At 38.1% G+C, this 12,495-nt stretch overlaps 1 protein-coding gene across 8 annotated transcripts in view, besides 1 other annotated feature; it reads left to right on the forward strand.

Moving 5' to 3' along the window:
* Positions 1 to 12,495, forward strand: part of ADIPOR2 (adiponectin receptor 2) — a 97,605-nt gene that overhangs the window by 9,406 nt on the left and 75,704 nt on the right. For 2 of the 8 annotated variants that reach the window (XM_011521024.2, XM_006719018.3), the window contains exon 2: positions 2,411 to 2,507. The exons of the other annotated variants lie outside the window; for them this stretch is intronic. The gene's annotated coding sequence lies outside the window, so the exon portion shown is untranslated. The remainder of the gene's footprint in view (positions 1 to 2,410; positions 2,508 to 12,495) is intronic. 8 annotated transcript variants of the gene reach the window in all.
* Positions 6,251 to 6,420: a silencer, noted in NCBI's record as "silent region_4122". NCBI's record gives its function as "represses an Ori minimal core promoter by ATAC-STARR-seq in GM12878 lymphoblastoid cells {active_cell/tissue: GM12878}" and the evidence as "EXISTENCE:reporter gene assay evidence [ECO:0000049][PMID:35858748]".

The raw sequence follows: 12,495 nt of genomic DNA on the forward strand, positions 1-12,495 counted from the left end.
AAAGGATATCTGGTAACTTAAAATAAAAGATCTGGAAGTGTAATAAAATATGTGTAAAAAGAAGAAATCAGGGAAAGGACAAAGCATATATTCTTTTCCCAAGTGACAGCATAATTCAATGACTAAGAATAAAAATTGGGTTTGAGTTTGCTTGGCAGCGAGGGTAAAAATGGAAGTATGGTAAAATACATAGCACTAAACTAAAAGGAGGAACAAGACCAATTTTTCAGGGGTGAAATCCTCTCTTCACAGATTTCTAAGAAACTATTTAAACTGGACATTATATAAAAGCTGTTTTGTTGTTGTTAGTGGCCCTAGATTTAAAAAAAAAAAAAAGGTGAGGGCTAAGCATTAAGATTTCAAGCCAATGAAATACATTTTAGGGGTTGATTTGAATTTAGGCTGCAGATGTATGTTTTATTTGGCCAATATATGTTTTTTTTCCTTAAAATATTTCAAACATACATGAGACTACAGAGACCAATATAATTAACATTCATATATTAACCATACAGCTGTAGCATATCTTAGCATGTTCCCATATTTCTCATTTTTTTGAGGAAAAAAAATCATGTACAGTTGAAGCAACTTCTTGGATTACAGTTTACTTTCTTCCCAGAAGTTAACTATTATTCTGAGTATGGTGTTGATCTTTTTTTTTTTTTTTTTTTGGAAACAGGGTCTCACTCTGTCACCCAGGCTAGAGTACAGGGGTATGATCATGGCTCACTGCAGCCCATCTCCTTTGCTTGAGCAGTCCTCCCACTTCAGCCTTCCAAGTAGCTGGGAACTCAGGTTTACACCACTGTGCCCAGCTAATATTTGTATATTTTGTAGAGATTGGGTTTCGCCTGTTGCCCAGGCTGGTCTCCTGTGCTCAAGCAGTCCATCCACCTCGGCCTCCCAAAAGTGCTGGGATTACAGGTGTGAGCCACCACTCCTGGCCTGATCATTTTTAATGCATGTTTTTATGTAATTACTACATGGGTATATATTCACAAATCATAGTATTGCTTTGCATATTTTCAGATTTGATGTAAATGATATATTCTGCTTATTCTATAATTTGTCTTTCATGAAAATTTTTTTGATTTATATGAAACTGCTGATACGTTACCATTTTGACCTACAAAAATGACAGTTTCATATGGCCCACCCTAATAGTCATACTTTTATCTGCTGTAAAATTATTTTCTATTATATGAATATAGCCAGATAAAATTTATTTATTCTCATGTTGATAGGCATTTAGATTGTTTCCAGGTTTTCATGTATTAAAAATAATGTTACATTGAACATTCCTTATTAGGAATCATTGTGCTTACATTTAAGATTTTTGGCAAGTTTTAAAAACTGCATGTTGTGGCTGGGCACTGTGGCTTGAGCCTGTAATATCAGCACTTTGGGAGGCTGAGGTGGGCGGATCACCTGAGGTCAGGAGTTTGAGACCAGCCTGACCAACATGGTGAAACTCCATCTCTCCTAAAAATACAAACATTAGCTGGGCGGGGTGGCGCGTGCCTGTAATCCCAGCTACTCAGGAGGCTGAGGCAGGAGAATCGCTTGAACCTGGGAGGCAGAGGTTTCAGTGAGCCGAGATCACGCCATTGCACTCCAGCTTGGGTGATGAGCGAAACTCCATCTTAAAAAACAAATGAACAAACAGAAAAAACCCCACATGTCGCGACTCCCTAATGGATTGTGAAATCAATTCAGGAATTAGAAAAATATCAGGTTGTATTGCAAACAATAAGGATAAAATGTTTTGTGAAATTTTTATTTCTGTGTGTATGTATGTGGTTATTAAGTTTGAAATGAAGCCCTCTATGGTGAATTACCCAGAAGTGCAATTATTGGGCTGAAGATTTTGGAGGTTATGGGAATTTTTTTAGCTGTATTGGATATTGTCAAATTTGCTGTCACTTTGCATATTTTAGCACTAGAGTATGAGAATTTGCCATCTTCCGATTGTTATGATTAATGGCATTGTCAGATTTTTTACATGTTTACAAATCAGATGAGTGTGAAATGTTACCACATTGTCTTAATTTTTATTTTTGATTATGGGGTTGAGTATGTTTTCAAATGTTAGATGACTATTCAAGTGTTTGTTTCTTGAATTGGCTGTTCTTTTCCTTCCACAGCCATTTGGGTGGTCTTTCTAAATTGATTTTAGAAAGTTTTAAGTTCATTACATACTTCGATTATGTTTGTTAAGTGAATTGCAACTGTCTTTTCTCAGTCTGTGTGGCTTATCTCTTAACTTTATATGGTTTGTTTTGTTAAATAGAAATGATTATTATAAAATATATCACTATTTTCTTGTTTGTGTTTTATTTAAGAAACCTGGGGTGATCACTCTGTGGTTCTCCTCATGCACATTAACAAGTTTGTTACTTCATTTCTTCAGTTGATCTCCCTTTTGTGAGGTGGTTTTTAAGTGAATCATTAAAGAGCAAAGGAGAAGTTTTCCCGTGGCTCCCACGCTGCTATTCAAAACTTCCTGGGTTAGTAAGCCTTCTTGTGAATTGTCTTTAAAATGTTTATTAAAAACTCTTAGGAACTCTCATATAAAGTCTTAAATTTGTGTACAAAGATGCTCTCTGACATTGCTTGACTAGTGAAGAAAGTTAAAACAATCTAAATGTTAAAAATATATTATATGTATCCAGACTTCAGAATTTTTTTGTAGACATTAAGAGAATAAGCTAGAGCTATACGTTGTGACATGAAAATGCCTACTATATACTAGTTAAGTTTTTTAAAAAGTATTTTGCAGAGAAAATATGCACAGTATAATCTTACAGTGCAAAATTTTTGCAGGCACATATGTATATGATATATGCAATCTATATATGCATATAGAAGGGTCTGAAAATATATAATAGTTGCCACTGGAGTGGTATGTGTGTTTGTGTTGCTTTAATTTTTTTCAGTACACATTTAAACAGAAGTAAAAAACAATTTAAAAGAAATTTGGCTGGGTGTGGTGGCTCATGGCTGTAATCTCAGTACTTTGGGAAGCTGAGATAGGAAGTTTGCTTGAGCCCAAGGGTTCGAGACCAACCTGGGCAACAGAGTGAGACCTGTCTCTACAAAAAACTTAAAAAATTAGCCAAGTGTGGTAGTGTGTGCCGGGACTGAGGTGGGAGGATAGCTCGAACCTGGGAGGTCAAGGCTGCAGTGAGCTGTGATTGAGCCACTGCACTCCAGTCTGGGTGACAGAGTGAAACTCTGTCTCACGAATAAATAAATAAATAAATAAATAAATGGGAGAATCTTAATAACCTTGGAGTATGGAATAGATTTGTTTGTTTTTTTGTTTGCGACAGGGCTCAAGTAATCCCACCACCCCAGCCTCTGTAGTAGCTAAGACTAGAGGCATGTGCCACCACACATGATTAATTTAATTTAGTTTTGTGAGGACAGGATCTCACTATGTTGCCCAGGCTGGTCTCAAACTCCTGGCCTGACTGATCCTCCTGCCTCAGCCTCCCAAAGTGCTGGGATTACAGATGTGAACCGCTATGCCCCCACCAGTTTTTTTTTTTTTTTTTTTGGGTCTTGGTTCTACCTGGAATTTTTTTTTTTTTTTTTTTTTTGGTGTGTGATGTGAGGCAGGGATCAAATTTAATTTTATTATATGTATACCCAATAACCATATTACTGTTAACAGAGTGTTTTGAATTTTTGAGTTAATAATTTTTAAAAGCAGCTCATGGTTTCTTGTTAAGCACAATTGCAGTCTTTTTGTCCTTCACCAGGCTGCTTCATATATTCAAGTTTGTGATCTCTGTGACCAGAGTGATATGATTGGTGGATGACTTGATCCAGAAATAGAACCTAGAAGAGTAGATACAGAGTATATTTTGTAGGTCTCACTCACATGTCATTTCTCTTACTATTTAAATGGAAATTAGATTGCACTTTCTTTCTTCTCTAATAAACTTGCTTTCACTTAAAAAAGAAATTGGATTGCAGACAATTTGAGGATATACATTAATGAGGAAACAGATTGCTGGTTTTTTGCATTGCTGGCTACAGACCTTGGAAACTAGAGAAGCACATGGTTGATTGATTGATATCTTGTTCTAAAACTTGAGCATACTTAAATGTATTTGGTCATCCAGCTATTATCACATATACTAACGTTTGAGACTTTTAATTTTGACTTTAGGGTACATGTATCAATACAGTTGTCTTAACTTTCTAAGATGTTTGATATAAAACACTGTAAATCACTTAGTTTAAGTATGAAGACCATTTTTGTTTCCTCTTAAGAGGGTTTTTATTACACTTTTAGTCTAAGAAGTGTTGCTGCTGAGGCCTTCAGATGTATATTCTAAATTTTTCTTTTTTCTTTTTATTCCTTTTCTTTCTCATACTGGTGGTCAGAAGAAGGCCTTATGATTTAGTAGAATTGAGCAATATTGATAAAGATTGTAGATACAAGTTTATTTTTAGATTTCTTAGACTTGTAAAATTGAGAAAGATAATTAACCACTTCCTTGAATTTTCCATTTGCAGCATTATAAAGCAAAACAAACAAACAGACAAAACAGACTTGTGCTCTGGAGGGTAATATGTGAGATGAGATAGAGCCCCGAATGATTGTTATTTAATAATGGGAGAAAGGTGCTTTATCACTTCAAAGTAGGGTTTTGATTTTGCCTGAAAGGTTAACTGTACAGGCCACATGTTTTATCTGAACAGATTTTATTTTTGAAGTAGTTTAAACAGTGGGCTATGTGGTATTATAGTACAGATGATTTATGGAAGGAAGTCTTTACATATTTGATATATTTTGGCACAAAATATATAATCCTAGATTTTTCAGGATTTCCCTGACTTTAATATTTAGAACTGTTGTTCCTTGTATTAGCATTTTTATGTACAGATTGAGCATCTCTAATCCAAAAATCTGAAATCTAAAATGCTCCCAAACCTGAAACTATTCGACGCCACAAGTGGAAAATTCCATACCTGACTTCCAGTGACAAGTTGCAGTCAGAACTTTGTTTCATGCACACAATTACAAAACATTGTATAAAATTACCTTCAGGCTATGAAACAAATATATTTTGTGTTTAGACTTGGGTTATATCCCCAAGATATTTTATTATGTATATACAAATATTCCAGAATCTGAAAAAATTCCAAATCCAAAACACTTCTGGGTACTAATCTTTGTTTCAAAAACAATAGTCATTATTATAGATCTTGGGAAATGAGGATAACCGTTGTAATATGGCTGTAAAAGAGTTGTAGAAAGACTTTTCTCCTTTAAAGACATTGTTTTTGTAGCTTTGACCACTACCAGTGGCTATAATGCATTGTTTGTGGCTTTATTGAAGTCCTATAAGATGGTGATAAAAGCATGGACTTTGAAGTCAGATAGATAAAGATTTGAATTCAGGGTCTTCCACTTAAGTTTGTGTTTTGATGAATTGCTTGATCTCCGTGAACCTCAGTTTCTTCATCTATAAAATGGGACCCCACTTCATAAGGATTGTTGGAGATGATAGGTGAAGGGTCAACTACTGGGCCTTGTTCAAAGTTGTCTTCAGTAGTAAAGTAACAATTCACCTTCTCCTACAGAGAGATAACATCATGATGTGGGAAGAAGGGAACTACTTACTTTTGTGGGAGGCAGTGTTGTATAATAGGCCATTTGTTGCTTCTCTGTTTTGTACGTTGTGTAACCTTAGGGAGATTATCCAGAAAGTTTACCCTCAGTCTTCTCATTGGTAAGTAGAGATAATGTTACCTATGTAACAGCAGAGTTTTAAAGCTAAATGAGAATATTTATAAAAGCTCACTTTATCTGGCACATGGTAACATGGTAACTTCTATTAATAAAATTTTATGGTAATAAGCAATATTATGCTTCTGAAGTAGGTCACAAGAAGGGCTTTTGGTTGGAGAAACCAGAATTGTTATGAATTAGTCCGTGTTTACTTTGAGGGAGTAAAGACTAGGGAGTATTCATTGAAGGAAGACTGTTTAGGAGGCTACTATTACTTGGCTAAAATACAAATAATGTGACTCAATAGTTTCTCAAAATTTTGTGTAATCTAGGCTTATGTAAATAAACTTTACTGTTTTATTAGGATTTAAAATCAACTTTATTGAAATATAATTTAAACAATGAAATATACTCATTTTAGGGGTGCAGTTAGATGACTTTTGATAATGTACATACCCACCCAGATAACCATCACCCTAATCAAGGTAATGGAATTTCTGTTATCTCCAAAACCTTCCTCGTGTCCCTCACAGTCAGTGCACCACACCCCTCCCCTCCTCTGGTTCAAGGAAACCACTGATTTGCATACATTCATTTTGTCTCTTAGAATTTCATGTAAGTGGGCTGGGCAAGGTGGCTCATGCCCATATTTCCATCACTTTGAGAGGCTGAGGTGGGAGGATCTCTTGAGCCAGGAGTTCAAGGCTGCAGTGGGCCAGGATCACACCACTGCAGTCCAGCTTAGTGACAGTGTGAGACCCGGTCTCAAGAAAAAAACTTTGTGTGTGTAAATGGAATCATACTGTACATATTCTTTAATGCCTGGCTGCTTTCACTCCGCATGTTTTTGAGAGTCCTCCATGTTGCTTTGTGTTCCAGTAGTTTGTTGCCTTTTATTGCTGAGTAGTATTCACTGTGGTATGGCTATACCACAATTTGTTTCTTCATTCACCTGATATTTGGGTTTCCAGTTTTTGGCTATTATGATTAAAGTGGCAATGAACATTGATGTACAAGTCTTTTTGTGGACTTAAGTTTTTATTTCTCTTGGGCAAATAGGAGTAGAATAGCTGAGTCATATGGTGTATATTTTGCAGTTTCTTAATAAGTTAAACAGTTTTTCAAACTGATTGTGCCATTTTATCTTCCTGTAATCTCATTTACATTATATGCTGTGTTTTTAATTTTAACTTTTTTTTTTTTAGTGTGAATTGATATCTTATTGTGGTTTTTATTTACATTTTTCTTTTTAAAAGTTTTGTTTTTTGTTGTGAGACAGGGTCTTGTCTGTTGTCCAGGTTGATGTGATCCTGGCTCACTGCAGTCTTGACTTCCCAGGCTCAAGGAATCTTTCCACCCCAGCCTTCCAAGTAGCTGGGACTACAGGTGCATGCCACTACATCCAGCTAATTTTATTTTGTAAAAATTTTTATGTAGAGATGAGATCTTGCTGTGTGCCCAGGCTGGTCTTTAAATCTGGGGCTCAAGTGATCTTCCCGCCTCAGTCTCCCAAAGTGCTGGGATTATAGGTGTCAGCCACCATGCCTTGCCTTATTTGCATTTTTCTGATAGCAAATGATGTTGAACACTTCTTCATGTGTTCATTGGCCATTTGTATATCCTTTTATTAGATGAGGTGTCTAATTCTTAATTCATTTTTAAAAAAGCTTTTAAAAATTACTGAGTTACAAGTTCTTTATATGTTGTGGATACAAGTACTTTGTCAGCTGTGTGAATTTTGAATATACAGTCAGCGCTCCTTGTCTGAGGGTTCCACATCCACAGATTTAACGAATCTAAGATGGAAAATGTTTGGTAAAAAAATAACAATATGCGAATAAAAAATAATACAAATAAAAAATACAGTATAACAGCTATTTATATAGCATTTAATCATATTAGGTATTATAAATAATCTAGAGATTGATTTAAAGTATAAGGAAGATGTGCATATGCAAATATGGGTTTTTTTTTTTTTTAAATAAGGGACTTGAGCATCCTCGAATTTTGGTGTTCAGTTTTGGGTGGATTAGGAGGGTAGAGAGGGGTTCTTGAAACCAGTCCACCAGGGATACCGAGAGATGACTGTATTCTTTTGTTCTGTGGCTTGCCTTTCATTTTCTTAACAGTCTTTGGAAGAGCAGATGTTTCTTAATTTTGTTGAGTCCAGTTTATCACTTTTTACTTATGGTTAGTGCTTTTTGTGTCTTAAGAAGTATTTAGCTACACCAAGGTTGTAAAGATTTTCACCTGTGTTTATTTTGGAAGCCTTACAGTTTTAGACATTACATTTAAGCCTATGATCTATTTCAAGTTAATTTTTGTGTAGGATGTGAGGTAAAAGTTCAGGTTCTCCTCTCCCATATGAATATCCAGTTGTTCAAGCACCATTTGGTAAAAAGACTATCCTTTCCTCATTTAATTACTTTGACCTTTGTTGAAAATCAGTTGTCCATAAATGAGTGGGTCTTTTTATTATTGCATTGATTTGTATACCTATACTTTTTTTTTTTTTTGAGACAGAGTCTTGTTCTGTCATCCAGGCTGGAGTGCAGTGGCACAGTCTTGGGTCACTGCAACATCCGCCTCCCAGGTTCAAGTGATTCTCCTGCCTCAGCCTCCCGAGTAGCTGGGATTACAGGTGTGCACCACCACGCCCGGCTAATTTTTGTATTTTTAGTAGAGATGGGGTTTCACCATGTTGGCCAGGCTGGTCTCGAACTCTTGACTTCAGGTGATCCACCTGCCTATACCTCCCAAAGTGCTGGATTACATGTGTGAGCCACTGTGCCTGGCCCTGCATATCTATACTTATGCCAGTACTACACTTGATTACTGTAGCTTTATGGTAAATTTTGGTTACTCTAGATTCTTTGCATTTCCATAAATTTTGGTATTAATAGTGTCAGTTTCTATCAAAAAGCCTGCTGGAATTTCAGTTTGTGTTGTATTAAATATACAGATCATTAGGGAGAGAATTGTCGTTTAAAAAATATTGAGTCTTCTGGTCCTTGAAAATGGTGTATCTTATTATTTTTTAAGGTTCTTTAGTTTCTCTCAGCAGTGTTTTGTAGTTTTCAGTGTAGGAAGTGTTGGACATCTTTTATTGGATTTATTCCTAATTATTTTAAGTGCTTACATGGGAATTTTTTTAAAGTTTCATTTTTTCCAATTTGGTGCTAGTATGTAGATTACAATTGATTGGTGGTCTGTCTAGCATGTAGAAATTCCTTAATAAGTAGTCAGATGGAATTTAATTTGTTCTCATCTAACTTTCTGGAGAAAATAATCATCTAAAAGAAAAAAGATTATCTCTGAATTTGAATGGGTTTTAAATTTGTATGACTGTGGCTTATTTTAATTTCTCTGAATTTGTAACGTAGAAGTACATTTGGATTTTATGGTAAAATATACGATATTGGATATAAGTGGAGACATGTAGAGATCATTCAACAGATGAGAGGATATAGCTATAGAAAAGCAGAGTTGAAAATTTTTAGATGGTAAAATATTCAATTTTATATTAAATATAATATTTTAAAGTAGAAAGTGCTTGAGTAGTATGATTAAAAAGAGGAAACTTGTTTTCATTTGAATACATTTTGGCCTACAAGAATGTCTGTTACTGGCTTAAGTATTTTTGTTTGTGTATACCGTCAGATGATTTACCATTTCCTAGCCAAACCTGATTTGTTGGCCCAGTACAACTCTCTTCTCTCTTTTAAGCTGTGTCTTTGATAGTATTTCTGTTCATCCTGCCTAGAAGATTGTGTTCTCACACAGTTTTCTGTTGTTGGTTCTAAAACATGGTGTAAATGAGAGGATTGTAAAATGCGCCAATCAGCACTCTGTAAAAATGCACCAGTCAGTGCTCTGTGGCTAGCTAGAGGTTTGTAAAATGGACCCCTCAGCACACTGTAAAATGGACCAATCAGTGCTTTGTAAAATGGACCAATCAGCAGGATATGGGCGGGGATAAATAAGGGAATAAAAGCTGGGCACCCCAGCCATCAGCTGCAACCCAGTCAGGTCCCCTTCCATGCTGTGGAAGCTTTTTTCTTTCGCTCTTCACAATAAATCTTGCTGCTGCTCACTCTTTGGGTCCGTGCCACCTTTAAGAGCTGTAACACTCACCGTGAAGGTCTGCGGCTTCATTCTTGAAGTTAGCGAGACCACGAGCCCACTGGAAGGAACCAACTCTGGACACATCTTGGTGACCCAGACGGGACCATTGGACCCCTTTTGCTTGCTATTCTGTCCTATTTTTCCTTACAATTCAGGGGCTAAACACCAGGGCACCTGTCGGCCAGTTAAAAGCAACTAGCGCGGCCACCGGACTAAAGACACGGGTGTTAGGCTTTCTGGGAAAGGGCTCTCTAACAACCCCCGACTCTTCAGAGTTGGGAGCGTTGGTTTGCCTGGAACCAGCTTCCTCTTTGCCTGTACTTCTGGGCTGAGCCAAGGGTTGACAAGAGGGGAAAGCCATTCAGCTGCGGGGTCCCAACAAAAAGTTGGTTGACCCTGTAGCCATGAGGGGAACTCTGTAGGTCAGCCAAAGGTTCAGTGGGTCGGTCCAGGGGTCCTTGGTAGAAGTTGTTAGTTGAACTCATTTGGGGTTCCATTTGTAAGACCATCTATAGCTTGATGGCATCGATCCTGGAGGAAACAAATTTGACAAGGAGTTTAAAAATACGGGCCTGAAGGCGAGTAATAGCAAGATGGCTGTTACGGGACCTAGAAAGGGGAGAAGCCATGTTGCCCAGCTCCAGAGGTTGGTATAAGAGTTTGAAAGGCGTTGTCTGATTTCAGAAGCCTTTTCCTGTAAACGCCAGGTGGCGTCTCATACTATCCCTCACTGGTTAGTGTAAAAGCAACATTCTTCCCCTAAGAAGGTGCATAGTCCTCCTTTCTCAGCAGTGAGGAAGTCTAGGCCTTGGCGGTTTTGGAGAGTCACTGCTGCCAAAGAGTCTATCTGGGATTGTAGAGGAAGGATAGATTTTGTTATTTCTTGCAAGCTGTCTGAGAAATCCTTTGAGAGTGTGTGGTAGTAGGATAATGAAGTAGATAAATCTGCTATTCCAATTCCTGTAGCAGTGGCCATTCCTAACCCTATAAGTAGGGGTATTAGTTGTATGGCCCTGTGCTGATGGACTTGAGCTTTGAAGGGGCACTGATAGAGTCTGATTTCCTGGGGCAATGTTAATGTTGGGACTTAGGAAGACTAAGGTGTAGGTGCCTGTCCAGTTGGTGGGGAGGCAGATACAGGTTGAAGTTCCACTTAAGAAGAATATGCCTTGGCTGGGTAGACAGAAATTTACCCTGGCTTTTAAAGGAATAGGGTACACTGTTTTTTCTTTACTACTTCTATCTCTGTGTCTCTCTTTGTCTCTTCCTCTCTCTCTCTCTCTCTCTCTCTCTCTTTCTCTCTTTCTGACTTCTTTTCTGTCTCTTCCTCTCTCTGTTTCTCTCTTTCTGACTCCCTCTTTGTCTGTCTCTTCCTCTCTCTCTCTTTCCTCTCTGCTGGTCTTTCCCTGCCTCTGCCAGCTGCTTATGCTGCTGTTCTCCCCTCTCCTTTCAGCAGTGTAAGACTGCCACCTCCTTGGGTTTTTGCACTGTGTGCAATAACTCCGTGATTTCCTTATGGTATTTAATGGGGTTCACCCAGAGGTTAGGAACTCCCTTTCTTTCCATATTGCATCATGGGCACGAAGGATTAGATAAGCATACTTGTTATCTATACACATTTATTCTTTTTCCCTTTCCCAGTTCTAAGGCTTGGGTAAGTGCCACTAGTTCTGCTATCTGGCCGCTGGTCCCTGGGGGAGGAGGCTTACTTTCAAGTACTGTTACATCACTAACTATGGCATAACCTGCCCTTTGTATCCCATTCTTCACAGATGAACTGCCATCAGTGTATAGGTTAAGGTCAGGATTAGCTAAGGGGACTTCTAAGAGATCCTCTTGGGTGGCATAAGTCTGGACTATAATTTGTTGGCAGTCATGCTCGATTGGTTCCCCATCCTCTGGGAGAAAAGTGGCAGGGTTGAGAGCCGCACAGATGCATATTTGAAGCATCGGTCCCTCAAGGAGTAGCACCTGGTATCCAAGCAGGCGGTTGTCTGATAGCCATAAACTTCCTTTGGCACCTAGTGTGCCATTTACATCATGAGTAGTCCAGACAGTGAGATCCTTTCCTAGTATTATTTTGATAGCCTCTGATATAAGACGGCCACTGCTGCAACTACACGTAAACAGTGAGGCTAGCCTTTTGCCACTGGTTGTAGGGTTGTCCCGTGAGTCTGAGTAAGGACTTCAAGAGCTATTCCTGCTCTCTCTCTGACGTATAAAGAGAAGTTTTGTCTTGTGGGAAGGCTTAAGGCTGGAGCTTGTACTAGGGCCTGCTTTAAGGATTTGAAGGCTGTTTCTGCCTCTGGTTCCCATTCTACTAGATGAGTATTTGCCCTCTGGGTCTCCTTTATTAGAGTATAGAGTGGCCTGGCCATCTTGCTGTATCCAGGGATCTGTAGTCGGCAAAAGCTGGTGATTCCAAGGAACCCCCGCAACTGTTTTAATGTCTTAGGGCGAGGATAAGCCAGTATAGGCTGTATTCGTTTCTTGCTGAGGGCCCTGGTTCCTCTGGCTAAGATTAGGCCTAGATATTTGACTTGTTGTAGGCAGAGCTGGGCCTTTGATTTAGATGCCTTGTACCCTTGATTAGCTAGAAAGTTCAAGAGATCTCGAGTAGCTTG

The sequence above is a fragment of the Homo sapiens genome, chromosome 12 (genome assembly GCF_000001405.40).
Source record: "Homo sapiens chromosome 12, GRCh38.p14 Primary Assembly".
Classification (NCBI taxonomy): domain Eukaryota; kingdom Metazoa; phylum Chordata; class Mammalia; order Primates; family Hominidae; genus Homo; species Homo sapiens.